General features: G+C 38.1%; 1 protein-coding gene and 1 long non-coding RNA gene across 14 annotated transcripts in view; one reads left to right on the top strand and one right to left on the bottom strand.

Annotated features, from left to right (window-relative positions):
* Positions 1-16,866, bottom strand: part of RIC1 (RIC1 partner of RAB6A GEF complex) — a 149,527-nt gene that overhangs the window by 50,800 nt on the left and 81,861 nt on the right. For 9 of the 13 annotated variants that reach the window (XR_428426.4, XR_007061331.1, NM_020829.4 and 6 more), the window contains 3 exons: positions 13,831-13,938; positions 7,510-7,652; positions 7,084-7,220 (listed from right to left, as the gene is read on the bottom strand). Coding sequence is in view for 9 of the 13 variants with exons in the window: in NM_020829.4 (NP_065880.2) it covers positions 7,084-7,220; positions 7,510-7,652; positions 13,831-13,938 (388 nt within the window). In the remaining 4 variants the exon portion in view is untranslated. The remainder of the gene's footprint in view (positions 1-7,083; positions 7,221-7,509; positions 7,653-13,830; positions 13,939-16,866) is intronic. The other 4 variants (XR_007061330.1, XR_007061332.1, XM_005251523.4 and 1 more) reach the window with 1 other exon arrangement.
* Positions 7,648-8,815, top strand: LOC124902115 (uncharacterized). The gene is made up of 2 exons (XR_007061409.1): positions 7,648-7,959; positions 8,336-8,815. It is a non-coding gene; the product is annotated as an uncharacterized LOC124902115 (long non-coding RNA).

Here is a 16,866-nt window from a genome sequence, read left to right as displayed (position 1 = left end):
GATACCCAGGCAAACAGGGTCTGGAGTGGACCTCCAGCAAACTCCAACAGACCTACAGCTGAGGGTCCTGACTGTTAGAAGGAAAACTAACAAACAGAAAGGACATCCACACCAAAACCCCATATGTATGTCAGCATCATCAAAGACTAAAGGCAGATAAAACCAAAGATGGGGAGAAACCAGAGCAGAAAAGCTAAAATTCTAAAAATCAGAGCACCTCTTCACCTCCAAAGGAACGCAGCTCCTTGCCAGCAATGGAACAAAGCTCGATGGAGAATGACTTTGATGAGTTGAGAGAAGAAGGCTTCAGACGATCAGTAATAACAAACTTCTCCAAGCTAAAGAAGGATGCTCGAACCCATTGCAAAGAAGCAAAAAATCTTGAAAAAAGATTAGACAAATGGCTAACTAGAATAAACAGCGTAGCAAGGACCTAAAATGACGTGATGGAGCTGAAAACCATCGCACGAGAACTATGTGATGCCTGCACAAGCTTCAGTAGCCGATTTGATCGAATGATTGAAGATCAAATGAATGAAATGAAGTGAGAAGAGAAGTTTAGAGAAAAAAAGAGTAAAAAGAAATGAACAAAGCCTCCCAGAAAAATGGGACTGTGTGAAAAGATGAAATCTACGTCTGACTGCTGTACCTGAAAGTGACGGGGAGAATGGAACCAAGTTGGAAAACACTCTGCAGGATGTTATCCAGGAGAACTTCCCCAACCTAGCAAGGCAGACCAACATTCAAATTCAGGAAATACAGGGAACGCCACAAAGATACTCCTCGAGAAGAGCAACTCCAAGACACATAATTGTCAGACTCACCAAAGTTGAAATGAAGGAAAAAATGTTAAGGGCAGCCAGAGAGAAAGGTCGGGTTACCCACAAAGGGAAGCCTATCAGACTAACAGCAGATCTCTAAGCAGAAACTCTACAAGCCAGAAGATAGTGGGGGCCAATATTCAACATTCTTATAGAAAAGAATTTTCAACCCAGAATTTCATATCCAGCCAAACTAAGCTTCGTAAGTGAAGGAGAAATAAAATCCTTTACAGACAAGCAAATGCTGAGAGATTTTGTCACCACCAAGCCTGCCTTACAAGAGCTCCTGAAGGAAGCACTAAATATGGAAAGGAACAACTGGTACCAGCCACTGCAAAAACATGCCAAATTGTAAAGACCATCGATGCTAGGAAGAAACTGCATCAACTAATGTGCAAAATAACCAGCTAACATCATAATGACAGGATCAAATTCACACATAACAATAGTAACCTTAAATGTAAATGGACTAAATGCTCCGATTAAAAGACACAGACTGGCAAATTGGATAAAGTGTCAAGACCCATCATTGTGCTGTATTCTGGAGACCTACCTTACGTGCAGAGACACACATAGGCTCAAAATAAAGGGATGGAGGAAGATCAACCAAGCAAATGGAAAACAAAAAAAAGCAGGGGTTGCAATCCTAGTATCTGATAAAACAGACTTTAAACCAACAAAGATCAATAGAGACAAAGAAGGCCATTGCATAATGCTAAAGGGATCAATTCAACAAGAAGAGCTAACTATCCTAAATATATATGCACCCAATACAGGAGCACCCAGATTCATAAAGCAAGTCCTTAGAGACCTACAAAGAGACTTAGACTCCCACACAATAATAATGGGAGACTTTAACACCCCACCGTAAACATTAGACAGATCAAAGAGACAGAAAGTTAACAAGGGTATCCAGGAATTGAACTCAGCTCTGCACCAAGTGGTCCTAATAGACATCTACAGAACTCTCCACCCCAAATCAACAGAATATACATTCTTCTCAGCACCACATCACACTTATTCCAAAATTGACCACATAGTTGGAAGTACCCCTCAGCAAATGTAAAAAACCAGAAATTATAACCAACTGTCTCTCAGACCACAGTGCAATCAAACTAGAACTCAGGATTAAGAAACTCACTCAAAACCACTCAACTACATGAAACTGAACAACCTGCTCCTGAATGACTACTGGGTACATAACGAAATGAAGGCAGAAATAAAGATGTTCTTTGAAACCAACGAGAACAAAGACACAACATACCAGAATCTCTGGGACATATTTAAAGCAGTGTGTAGAGGGAAATTTATAGGATTAAATGCCCACAACAGAAAGCACGAAAGATCTAAAATTGACACCCTAACATCACAATTAAAAGAACTAGAGAAGCAGGAGCAGACACATTCAAAAGCTAGCAGAAGGTAAGAAATAACTAAGATCAGAGCAGAACTGAAGGAGATAGAGACATAAAAAAACCATCAAAAAAATCAATGAATGCAGGAGCTGGTTTTTTGAAAAGACTGACGAAATTGATAGACCACTAGCAAGACTAATGAAGAAGTAAAGAGAGAAGAATCAAGTAGACGCAATAAAAAATGATAAAGGGGATATCACCACCGATCCCACAGAAATACAAACTACCATCAGAGAATACTATAAACACCTCTAAGCAAATAAACTAGAAACTCTAGAAGAAATGGATAAATTCCTGGACAAATACACCCTCCCAAGACTAAACCAGGAAGAAGCTGAATCCCTGAATAGACCAATAACAGGCTCTGAAATTGAGGCAATAATTAATAGCCTACTAACCAAAAAAAGTCCAGGACGAGACAGATTCACAGCCAAATTCTATCAGAGGTACAAAGAGGAACTGGTACCATTCCTTCTGAAACTATTCCAATCAATAGAAAAAGAGGGAACCCTCCCTAACTCATTTTATGAGGCCTGCATCATCCTGATATCAAAGCCTGGCAGAGACACAACAAAAAAAGAGAATATTAGACCAATATCCCTTATGAACAATGATGCAAAAATCCTCAATAAAATACTGGCAAACCGAATCCAGCAGCACATCAAAAAGCTTATCCACCACTATCAAGTTGGCTTCATCCCTGGGATGCAAGGCTGGTTCAAGATACGAAAATCAATAACGGTAATACAGCATATAAACAGAACCAAAGACAAAAACCACATGATTATCTCAATAGATGCAGAAAAGGCCTTTGACAAAATTCAACAGTCCTTCCTGCTAAAAAGTCTCAATAAACTAGGTATTGATGGGACGTATCTCAAAATAATAAGAGCTACTTATGACAAACCCACAAATATCATACTGAATGGGCAAAAACTGGAAGCATTCCCTTTGAAAACTGGCACAAGACAGGGATGTCCTCTCTCACCACTCCTATTCAACACAGTGTTGGAAGTTCTGGCCAGAGCAATCAGGCAGAAGAAAGAAATAAAGGGTATTCAATTAGGAAAAGAGGAAGTCAAATTGTCCCTGTTTGCAGATGACATGATTGTATATCTAGAAAACTCCATAGTCTCAGCGCAAAATCTCCTTAAGCTGATAGGCAACTTCAGCAAAGTCTCAGGATACAAAATGAATGTGCAAAAATCACAAGCATTCCTATACACCAATAACAGACAAACACAGAACCAAATCATGAGTGAACTCCCATTCACAATTGCTTCAAAGAGAATAAAATACCTAGGAATCCAACTTACAAGGGATGTGAAGGACCTCTTCAAGGAGAACTACAAACCACTGCTCAACGAAATAAAAGAGGACACAAACAAATGAAAGAACTTTCCATGCTCATGGATAGGAAGAATCAATATTGTGAAAATGGCCATACTGCCCAAGGTCATTTATAGATTCAATGCCATCCCCATCAAGTTACCAATGACTTTCTTCACAGAGTTGGAAAAAACTACTTTAAAGTTCATATGGAACCAAAAAACAGCCTGCATTGCGAAGACAATCCTAAGCCAAAAGAACAAAGCTGGAGGCATCACGCTACCTGACTTCAAACTATACTACAAGGCTACAGTAACCAAAACAGCATGGTACTGGTACCAAAACAGAGATCTAGACCAATGGAACAGAACAGAGCCCTCAGAAATAATACCACACATCTACAACCATCTGATCTTTGACAAACCTGACAAAAACAAGAAACGGGGAAAGGATTCTCTATTTAATAAATGGTGCTGGTAAAACGGGCTAGCCATATGTAGAAAGCTGAAACTGGATCCTTTCCTTACACCTTATACAAAAATTAATTCAAGATGGATTAAAGACTTAAATGTTGGACCTAAAACCATAAAAACCCTAGAAGAAAACCTAGACAATACCATTCAGGCCATAGGCATGGGCAAGGACTTCATGACTAAAACACCAAAAGCAATGGCAACAAAAGCCAAAATTGACAAATGGGATCTAATTCAACTAAAGAGCTTCTGCACAGCAAAAGAAACTACCATCAGAGTGAACAGGCAACCTACAGAATGGGAAAAAATTTTTACCATCTACCCATCTGACAAAGGGCTAATATCCAGAAACTACAAAGAACTTAAACAAATTTACAAGAAAAAAATCAAACCACCCCATCAAAAAGTGGGCGAAGGCTATGAACAGACACTTCTCAAAAGAAGACATTTATGCAGCCAACAGACACATGAAAAAATGCTCATTATCACTGGCCATCAAAGAAATGCAAATCAAAACCACAATGAGATACCATCTCACACCAGTTAAAATGGTGATCATTAAAAACTTAGGAAACAATAGGTCCTGGAGAGGATGTGGAGAAATAGGAATACTTTTACACTGTTGGTGGGACTGTAAACTAGTTCAACCATTGTGGAAGACAGTGTGGCGATTCTTCAAGGATCTAAAACTAGAAATATCATTTGATCCAGCCATCCCATTACTGGGTATATACCCAAAGGATTATAAATCATGCTGCTATAAAGACACACGCACATGTATGTTTATTGTGGCACTATTCAAATAGCAAAGACTTGGTACCAAGCCCAGTGTCCATCAATGACAGACTGGATTAAGAAAATGTGGCACATATACACCATGGAATACTATGCAGCCATAAAAAAGGATGAGTTCATGTCCTTTGTAGGCACATGGGTGAAGTTGGAAACCATCATTCTGAGCAAACTATTGCAAGGACAAAAAACCAAACACCGTATGTTCTGATTCATAGGTGGGAATTGAACAATGAGAACACTTGGACACAAGGTGGGGAACATCACACACCAGGGCCTGTCGTGGGGTGGGGCGAGGGGGGGAGGGATAGCATTAGGAGATATACCTAATGTAAATGACGAGTTAATGGGTGCAGAACACCAACATGGCACATGTGTACATATGTAACAAACCTGCACGCTGTGCACATGTACCCTAGAACTTAAAAAAGTAAATAAAAAGATAGATTTAGAAAGGGATCTCTGATATCACAGTGGGCTTCAGAAAACCAGTGTAAGTTCTTTCTAGTATTAAAGTCAGAAAAGTTTATGTGAAGAAATATTTACATGTGCATGGAGGCTATGAACATGCATGTGGACGTGTGATACATACCTATAGACCCACACATACACTGCATAGGTACACACACACACACACACACACACACACACACACTCTCTCTCTCTTATAGTTTTTGCAAGCTCATTCCTTCTGTAAGCCATCCTTAAGTGATATAGTTCCTCGGGGTAAAAAAAAAAAAAAAAAAATCTCTTCCTCCATTAAATTGTTTTGTGGTACTGTGGAAAAAAAAAAAAAAAGAAGAAGAAGATGAAATGGGCTGGGCACCATGGCTGACGCCTGTAATCCCAGCACATTGGGAGGCTGAGGTGGGTGGATCACCTGAGGTTGGTAGGTCAAGACCAGCCTGACCAACAGGGAGAAACCCCGTCTCTACTAAAGACACAAAATTAGGCGGGCGTGGTGGTGCATGCCTGTAATCCCAGCAACTCGGGAGGCTGAAGCAGGAGAATCGCTTGAACCCGAGAGGCGGAGGTTGTGGTGAGCCGAGATCGTGCCACTGCACTCCAGTCTGGACAACAAGAGCAAAATTCCATCTCAAAAAAAAAAAAAAGAAAACAAAAAAGATGAAATGAACAGAACAGCTAATATGTTTGAAAAAGCTGGGAGGATATTTACACAACTGACAGTTTGGGTTGAGTAAGAGATAAGTACACAAAAATTAAGCAAATGTAAAGAACAAGGCAATCATTAATTCCTAGCAGGAGGAAAAATCTGCAGTAAAGGAAAAATAATTATACTGACAGAGACAGGAGTTGGCCAAGGGTCCCCAGTGAAAACCCACTTTCAAGCCCAAAAAGTGCCTGAAGGCTGAAAGATGGGACTCCTTGTCCCAGATGAAACTGGTGATCCAGAGGGATAAATAACTGCCCGTTTGCCGTTTCCTGAGTGATTCTTTCTGAATAATGCCCACAAGCGCACTAGGAGAATGGGGTTAAGTTCACGCCTTGTTCAGCGGGTAGGACCCTGGGGCTCTTCAGCGTGTGTGTGTGCACGCGCGTGTGTGCTGGGGTTTGGTAATCAATCTGTGAAGTGGGAGCCTGTTAGCAGGACATCATCTTTATTTGCTGAGAGCTTGCTTTTAATAAATTCTGCTCTCCTCACCTTTCAGTATGTCTGCATGCCTAATCTTTCCTGGCTGTGTGACAAGAACCTGCTTTTAGCTAAACTAAGGAGCAAAAACTTCTGCGTCAGTACCACATGGTTTCGGTACTAATGGGGCTTACATATTGATAAAAATATAAACAATTAATAGTAACCTAATCAAAATCACAATAACTATAATGGGAACATGAGAAGAATATAAGTATGGTGGAAGCAGGGAAGAGGGAAGTAAATGGTCACTTTCAACAGTAAGAAGTCAATAAACACAGCCTAAGAACTAAAAATTAAAGGAAATATTCAGAGTAGTGGAGATTAAAAATCAAAATAACCAGTAAAGGAATAACAAGTAGTTGCCTCCAAAAGTGGAAAATTAGGCATGAGGAGAGCAGGGAGGAGAACAGGAATCATTATTTTTCTTTAACATGTCCAAGAGAATTTTGTCTACTTATACTATTTATATGTTTGGTTTGATTAAAAAATTAACAACCCTTAAAATCTTACATGAATGATGAAAATAGAGAAGAATTTGATAACAAAGAATAAAATAAGTACACAATAACAAAAAACCCTTCAAAGTAAATAAGTCATACCTCTGCAGTAAATCTACTTGACACTGGTGTAATAAATCCAACTTTACCATCATTAAATACAACAGCAAACCCATCAAGTGTGGCACAGTATTCCATGTCTCTGATGTGTACGTCTGTGAAGCCCAGGAATGAACCTACTGATGAAAAAAATAAGCACATGAAATAGGATTAAGAATATAATAAATTACTCTCTCACTTTTTGCCAGAAAAACCTGTAAGTTTAAAAGGGTAAAAATAATGACCTAACAACCCTAAATAATTAAACTGTCCTTTCCTATTAAATGCCTCTCTCACCCCGCCTCTCATACTCTGCCCACCTCTCCCCTTGCATAAGTAATTCCAAAGAAGTGTTCATCCATAGAAGATACCTAACTAGACATCAAACATTAAACAACTGGTTCAACCTCATGTAGAAAGTATAGCTACCTCTAGATGACTGCAGGTCTACTGAAAAGGGTACTGTGCAAAGATTAATGGCTTTCCTTCCATTTGTCATTCCTTCCCAGTGAATAAGATGAAGAAGTCCATCAGAAGTAGCAACCAGGAGATCTTCCAACACAGACTGCAAACTGTAGGTAGAATCAATTAATTTTTAAGAGAGCATACTGGGAAAGCAATGTGTATGAATATTAAAACTGCTTTAGAGAATACTCATGCAAAAATGATCATGAAACCATTTACAAAACATCTCCATTTATCTGCAACTTTATCTATGTATATTTCAATCTAGAATCAGAAATCCTGAAAGAAATGAAAGACTATGGGCACTCACAGTCACAAACTTGATAACTGATAAAACTAGTTAAAAACTACAAATATTGAAACAGCAAATTAGAAGATGGAAACAGAAGTGATAGCAGAAAGAAAGAAAAAGAGGTAGAGAAACCATAAAATGAATAAACCCAACTAATAACAGTATGACAATCTAGAGCCATTAAGTGTAGAGGTAACAATGCTCTGGCACTTGTCCAATAAAACTTTGAATAATGATGGAAATGTTCTATATCTGTGCTATCTGTAAACAGTAGCTATGAGCTGTATGTGGTGACTATACACTTGAAATATGGCTAGTGCAATAAAATAACTGAAATTTTATTTACTTTTCATTAATGTAAATTTAAATAAATTCATGTGTGACTAGTGGCTACTGTATTGGAGTATAGTTCCAGGCCAATATATTTCTTAGGTATTAGCAAGTCTCACATTGTTCATTCCTTCTACAAACATTTACTGAGCCTATCCTCTGTGACAGGTGCTATACTGTGTGCTGGATATTCGAGGATGAATAAAATATTCTCCGTCTTCAGAGGACTTCTCAGGCAAGAAATCAAAAATAGTTACATAGCATGATCTCATCACTTATCAATATTTATGAAGATATTCAGCATTTACTTCTTTAATGGGGAAATAGCCTGTTTTGCTCACCTCTGTATGCACAGCCCCAAGGGCAGTGTTAGTTAAATCTGTCACTAAATATTTGTGCAAAGGAGGCAAGAAGAGGGAAAGGGTTAGAGGAAAGAGGAACCCATAAATGAGACCGCAAAGGTACTGGCACAAAGAAAAAGACAACCAGGGAAACCAGTAGAAACTGATATCAAGAAAGCCAAGGAAGTAAGATGAATTTAAGAAAGAGTGTTCAAAGTATCAAATACTATATAAGGAAAAACAAAAAATGTTATGTGTATATTATATATACCCTATTAAATACTATTAAATTCCTTTTCATACTTAAGAGCATATTTCTGAAATATTTTAATCCATAATGATGAAAAAAATGTCTTTTAGTATTTTAATTCTTAAACTAAACCTTTAATTCTTTGGAAAGTTGACTTCAATTACTCATACTCCAAAGATTTCAGCTAATGTAGAATTTGCTGTTTTTTCCCCAACTATAAAAATACTGAAAAAGATCAGAAACAGATGTTTCTTTACCCAGCTCTATTTCTTGAACTTCACAGCCATTTGTAATCAATTAAAATTCCCAGTTTTTAGACATTTCACTTTTTAAAGCATTATATATTAATTTCAAATTTATATTTCAGTGATAAAATCTATGTGTATCATTTGGTGGGTAGAGTATAAAAAGTTTATGTTTTAGATGCACTACTATATGCTATGAAAATATGTAATTCAAAATCTAAGCTGTTGGAAATCTGAATTACTTTTGAGCCTTAAAGAAATGTAATTATGGGGCCTGAGTCACACAATAGGCAGCTATAATCTAGGCAGCTGTCATCTTTCTTTCTCTGATTATAGATTAGCTTTCTTCCTTACTGTATTGTTTTATAAATGCTGTAAATGACTAAAGGGCTCCAGGGAAGACCCCTTCCCTCTTCACTGTTGATCTTCATGGTAGATTAACTTCCCTCTTATCTTTCTTACACAAAGACTTCATGGCTATCACATTGTCTTAAAATGGAATGTTAAATACACTCTTTTTAAATTGGAAATGAAAACTAGCTGTAAAGACAAGCCATAAAGAAAACAAACTGTAACTAAATTGTAACTCATAAACCAGCCTTGTATAGAAAACATTATAATCCTACTAAACTTTATTTTCCACCTATATAAGCAAGAACTGAACTTTTTTTTTTTTTTTTTTTTTTTTTTTGAGACGGAGTCTTGCTCTGTTGCCCAAGCTGGAGTGCAGTGGTACCATCTCAGCTCACTGCAACCTCTGCCTCCCAGGTTCAAGTGATTCTCCTGCCTCAGCCTCCCTAGTAGCTGGGATTACAGGCGCACGCCACCATGCCCAGCTAATTTTTGTATTTTTAGTAGAGACAAGGTTTCGCCGTGTTGGCCAGGCTCGTCTTGAACTCCTGACCTCAGGTGATCGACCCACCTTGGCCTCCAAAGTGCTGGGATTACAGGCGTGAGCCACTGCGCCTGGCTGAACTTTTTTTTTTTTTATTTTTAAACAGTCTCTTACTCTGCTGCCCAGGCTAGAGTGCAGTGGCGCGATCTCAGCTCACTGAAACCTCCGCCTCCCGGGATTCTCCTGCCTCAGCCTCCTGAGTAGCTGCGATGACAGGCATGCGCCACCACGCCCAGCTAATTTTTCTGTTTGTGGTAGAGACAAGGTTTCACCATGTTGGCCAGGCTGGTTTTGAACTCCTGACCTCAGGTGATCCACCCGCCTCGGCCTCCCAGTGTGCTGGGATTATAGGTGTGAGCTACTGTGCCTGGCCTGCAAGAACTGAACTTTTAACTTTGGAACACTGACCCCATTTTCTGAAGTCTGTTCTCCCGGATTGGTCAGCTTTCTGCTTGCATTAATTCCAGAATCTGATCCTTTTGATTACTTCAAGTTGACAATGTCAAGAGAGGCAATTTAGCAGAGTAGTCACTGGTTTACCAGTGATTTTCCTTGGAAGGAGTCAGCATCGTTTATTCCAAACTACATTCTCCCTCTCCCCTAACCCTATCTCCCTAGAAAATCACTGTATACAACAGAGTTATCCTCCAGTAATCTGACTACCTGCTAGACAAAACTCAACAATCGTCTGACAAAATTAAGAGTTCATAATCTCTATAACATGATAATCAGTGATGCTGCAACAAACAAATGACTGGCCAGATGTGTGAATAAACAGGAAAATGTAACCTAGAGTCAAGAGAAAAATCCATCAATATAAATAGACTTATAGATAATCTTGATATTGGAATTAGCAGATAGGCTTTTTAAAAACTGTGACAGACATAATAAATAATCTACAGGAAGAGATAGATATATCCTTCTCATTTAATTGAAAGTGGACAAACTTGTTAAAACAAAGGCTGAGCCAGGCGTGGTGGCTTGTGCCTATAATCCCAGCTACTAGGAGGCTGAGGCAGGAGGAATGCTTGAGCCCAGGAGCTCGAGACCAACTGAGCAGCACAGTGAGACTACCACCTCTAAAAAAATTTAGAAATAAAAAAGCTGGTGTCAGTTGTTAAAATACTAATAATTCTATAAATGTTGGTAAATAGACCTTGCCCCAAGTCACCTAAGTGTTTGCTACAACTGACTCCCCTCCCTCAGAAAAATCTGGCCAACTGAAGGATTCATTATTGGCGTAGTAGGGCGATGTCAGAACCCTGTTCGATAACTAATAACCCATGTCTTTTCATGCTGTATTGGTTCTTAAATTTTTGTTTCTTTTGAGACACAGTCTCTGTTGCCCTGGCTGGAGTGCAGTGGCACAATCTCAGCTCACTGCAACCTCTGCCTCCCGGGTTCAAGCAATTATTGTGCCTCAGCCTCCTGAGTAGCTGGGAGTACAGGCGTGTGCCACCACACCCAGCTAATTTTTATATTTTTAGTAGAGACAGGGTTTCACTATGTTGGCTAGGCTGGTCTCAAACTCCTGACCTCATGATCTGCCCTTCTGTCCCCTTGGCCTCCCAAAGTGCTGGGATTATAGGCATGAGCCACCGTGCCCAGCCTGGTTCTGAAATATTTTTAATATCACAACTGTTAATGAGTACATTTAAAAATTTAGGTAAATACACTCTAAGTTATATCCTTAGAGAGCCTCTTCAATCATTGACTTCATTAATTTTATGAGAGCTATGTGGTATCCCAGGTGTGCGTGTGTGTTAAATGTATGTTTAAATTTAGGATCTTGGCTGGGTGTGGTGGCTCAACACCTGCAATCCCAGCACTTTGAGAGGCCAAGGAGGGGAGATCGCTTGAGCTTAGGAGTTTGAGACCAGCCTCAACAACATGGTGAAACCTTGTCTCTACAATAAAGTACAAAAAATTAGCGTGCTGTGACGTGTGCCTGTAGTCCCAGCTACTTGATAGGCTGAGGTGAGATCACTGGAGCCCAGGAGGCTGAGGCTGCAGTGAGCTGTGATCATGCCGCTGCAATTAGCTGTGATTGTGCCACTGCACTTCAGCCTGGGTGACAAGGTGAGACCCTGTCGGAGGAGTGGGGAGAGAGGTAGGGAAGGGGATGGGAGGGGAGGGGAAGGGAGGGGAGGGGAAACTCTCATTAAAATTATGTTTTTACCTTCTAAACATTCTCTATCCTCAATTAATAACAAAAGTTAGATGCTTAACATTAATATTTTTTCTTCAAATCAAAAATAAAAGATGAGATAGTACTCTTACCCCTATAAGCAACAGCATAACCAATATCCTAGCCTTATCTGACTTATATTTGTGGTGACAGGAGGGAAAATAATTGGTTATAAAAATCTAAGTTTCATGTCTTCTCACTCGATTTAAAATCTATAGCAAATTTCAAATTTCCAGCAGTTATGTGTTTCAGGTGCTGATAACTTTGTTCTGAAATGCAGTTATTTCACTGGAGTTTTGAGAGAAACCTTACAGATTTCCAACCACCTAAATTCATAGATTAAAACCTAGCACCTGACAGGTTAAACTTGGACAAGATGGCAGAATTGTTTTTTTTTCTTTTTGGCTCTTTTTCTATTCTATTTCCATGCACCATACAAGGTTTCCCACCAGGTGGAGGTAGAAAGCCAAGCCTGTACAATTCCACCTTTTCTTGGTACCTACAGACACTCAGAATTCCTTATGTATCAAGTTACTTTCTTGAAAACGATTCCCATGCTGAAATAAATAAAATGTGAAGTGATGAATAACCTTGTGACCAAGGCGATGAGTAACTTTGAACTCAATCTTCTGTAACACTGATTACATTTAAGCAAATAATAATTGTGTTCTTTTCTATGAGAATAAGATATGAAGGGGATGGACCAAACAAGGCAAGACAATACCCAGCCACTTGCATAGTTTTAATGTTTCAGTATCATTCTGTACAGTACTCTAACAAGAGAAATGGTGAAATAAACCTTTACTTAGAACTGTGAGTCAGAGGGATTTTTTTAAAAGTAGCATGACATTCATATAATTCAATACATTTACATAGTTCAATATTAAAAAAGAGTACACAATAAAAAGCTTTTCCCCCAAACCTGTCCCATAGCTACTCAGTTCTCATCCCCAGTTTCTTATGTATTCTTCCAGAAAAATACATGCTCTCTCTTTTAAACAAGATGGAGATACCTCATCTCCCTTTTAAAAACAAACATTAGCAACATAAGCATTTTGCTTTTTTCACCCAACAACATATTTGGAAAGATTTTTTTCCATAAAGAATGTCCTCAATGTTTTTACAGCTGCGTATCGTTTAAATAAATTTTCTTATATCTACACAATGGAAAAGATATGCAGCTAAACTAAGTGACAACTAAAACATCAATAGTGGAACAACAATTAAAGAAATAAAGCCAAATTGTAGGTAAGATTTTTTCTACCAATGGGTATAAAATAGATTTTTGGTATTCTGGTATTTCTGGCCACTTTGTCATAAAACCTTTATTCATACTTGGATGAAAAAGTGTAACTTTCTTCCAAGTGTATATAAACTTCCCAGAAGCTTATGGCAACTTTGGAAACAAAGGCACTTTCTCTTTTCCTCAACTTGTGTGCTTTCATCAGTATTGTTTTGGGAAATATGGACTGTTATCACTCAATCAAACAATTCTAGACCTTATAAAATATAAATTTCAAAATAAGATTATAGTTGGTATATTCAATTTTATTATAATAATTTAAGTATTAAGTGCCATCTGTAAAACTTCCATTGTCTTATAAGGGTTAATCAAGCATTTCCAGAACTAAGAAGTTATCTTGAATTAAAAGAAATTAAACTAACTTTCCTGTTGGTCATGGGATTTACGAACTACATTGTCTACTGTCATCACACAATGTCAAATTTAACCAAAGTACTGTACCTCATGATGGGTGCTTGTAAATCCAGTATTTTCCTCATCTCCAAATTTAATGCTGGAGCACACTGTTCTTCCTTAAAATGGGGTGTCCCCTTCATTTGTGGACTTCCTCTAAAACAAACAGCATAGAGTTAAAGAAAGATGCTGAATTTGCCTCCATTCTGTGGCTAATACACATACAATCAAATAAAGTAAATGAAATAAAACTTACAAATCAGGTATTCATCCTTCAGATTCTCAAATGAAAAACAGACTTAAATTCTATTATAGCAGACATTATCTACTTATCAATTGGAAATAAATGTTTGACCAATGTAATTTGTGTTAGGAGGGTGGGAAGAAGAGCAGAGAATCTGAGAAAAAAACCCACTTGAAATAAAAGTGAACTAACTCTAAAGAGAACCAACAGGCATTTTGTTTAAAATTCCTGAGGGCCCTTTCTAAGGTGGACAACTATGGAAAAAAGTATCATTCTATACAGTATCTGTCCCAGTGATCCAAATCGTGTGGCTTCATCTTTACTTACTCCACACCTTATCCTTCATTCCTATTCTTTGGGTGTGAATCAGAATTAAGGTGAAATTCAAGGGTGCAATTAGGAGATGTTTCACAAGTTACTTAGTAATAAGTAGCTAAATACCTAAAATTTTAAATCCCTGGCATCAAATAGCTGCAGTAGAGTGCTGGGTCAATGCCAACTTAACTGAACTGTCACACACGACCCTTCAAAGGACTACAGGTTGTTTTGTATTCTTTATCTCCACATGGCATGGTAGACCAGTATCTTCTTCAGTGCCTGTGCTGGAATTTAACAGTTATCTGTCTCTCACCATCAGCTATCACTTGTGGCAACAATTAGCCTGCTGATGTCATCTCTCCCTTTCCAGTCAAGTACATTCCTATAATTTGTCGATACTATTAAAATATGCACAAAGAGGCAAACAAGTCCAATAGCTTTCAAAGTTCCTGGCTTTGGGAAATATATTTTGATGCTCATTTTTTTAGTTTTCTTTCTTACTTATTTTTGCTTATTTTTTTGTTACAGACTATTTTTCTTATAAAGTTTTGTGGTGATTTATTACCATTCTATCCTGCTACTACTATGAACTGGAGTACTTACTTAATTCCTTCTAAGTCTAAATGACTAAACTAGCTAATGTTTAACCATACAGGTTCGTGTTCAACTAACATGTCTGACTGATGTGACAGCCTGTAAAAAGGACATGAAAGTAATTAGTTTATAGGAGTCACATTTAAACTGCTGAACACACAGTCTGTGATGATTTACTGAGATGTCTTCGATGTATTAATATATCTGGTTTTAAAGTTAAATTTTATTTTCCAAAGTAATATATATACAGAAGTTAAAATTCAAATAGGGCTAGAAAGCTTAAGACAGAAAACAACACAGAGGTAGACTCCTTTCAGTGGAAACTTAAAAAGACATATGTCTTCTTTTGAGAAGTGTCTGTTCATATCCTTTGCCCACTTTTTGATGGGGTTGTTTTTTTCTTGTAAATTTGTTTGAGTCCTTTGTAGATGCTGGATATTAGCCCTTTGTCAGATGAGTAGATTGCAAAAATGTTCTCCCATTCTGTAGGTTGCCTCTTCACTCTGATGGTAGTTTCTTTTGCTGCGCAGAAGCTCTTTAACAGACACATGAAAAAATGCTCATCATCACTGGCCATCAGAGAAATGCAAATCAAAACCACAATGAGATACCATCTCACACCAGTTAGAATGGTGATCATTAAAAAGTCAGGAAACAACAGGTGCTGGAGAGGATGTGAAGAAATAGGAACACTTTTACATTGTTGGTGGGACTGCAAACTAGTTCAACTATTGTGGAAGACAGTGTGGCGATTCCTTAGGGATCTAGAACTAGAAATACCATTTGACCCAGCAATCCCATTACTAGGTATATACCCAAAGGAATATAAATCATGCTGCTATAAAGACACATGCGCATGTATGTTTATTGCGGCACTACTCACAATAGCAAAGACTTGGAACCAACCCAAATGTTCAACAATGATAGACTGGATTAAGAAAATGTGGCACATATACACCATGGAATACTATGCAGCCATATAAAAGGATGAGTTCATGTCCTTTGTAGGGACATAGATGAAGCTGGAAACCATCATTCTCAGCAAACTGTCGCAAGGACAAAAAACCAAACACCGCATGTTCTCACTCATAGGTGGGAATTGAACAATGAGAACACTTGGACACAGGAAAGGGACCATCACACATCAGGTCCTGTTGTGGGGTGGGGGCAGCAGGGAGGGATAGCATTAGGAGATATACCTAATGTAAATGACGAGTTAATGGGTGCAGAACACCAACACAGCACATGTATACATATGTAACAAACCTGCACATTGTGCACATGTACCCTAGAACTTAAAGTATAATAAAAATATATATATATATAAAATAAAGATAAAAAGGAAAACAAACAAAAAAGACGTATGTCCTGATTTGAACAGACCAACTCCTAAAATAACAGCTCTGAGTTAAAATGGGAAAACTGAACACAGACTGAGTATTTGATGACACTAATAAACTATTAATTCTGTTGGGTAATAATATTGTGGTTTGGTTTCCTTAAAATGTCTACCTGTTACAGACAAAACAGAAGCATTTAGGGTTGAATGATATAGTATATGAAAGTTGCTTTAATAATTAAAAAGTATGCATGCATGGGGAGAGGGGGATGTTGACAACTTTTGAATCTGGGAGATAAGTACACTGGGGACATGTCCTTTTAGATTCTCAAGTGTGGCTGTGGAGTTCAATGACATTCCTATTCACAGACTAGCTCTTTTTCCTCTGAAGTACCTAGGATCTTCTTTTTATATATCCGATGGGTTCTGAAATTTCAAAATAATTAATTTTTCTACAAGTATGTGAATGTTTATCATTGCACTGAGCACCTGGTAGACCTGTTCAATCTACTGATGTATTTAGTTTAAACTCTAGGAAATTTACATGTTTTGTTTCCTTAATATAATAATAAGCTTCTCCATTCCCTGT

Source organism: Homo sapiens, chromosome 9 (assembly GCF_000001405.40).
Source record: "Homo sapiens chromosome 9, GRCh38.p14 Primary Assembly".
In the NCBI taxonomy this organism is placed as follows: Eukaryota; Metazoa; Chordata; class Mammalia; order Primates; family Hominidae; genus Homo; species Homo sapiens.
The sequence above is the reverse complement of the archived record's forward strand: the minus strand, read 5'-3'. Positions and strand labels throughout refer to the sequence as shown.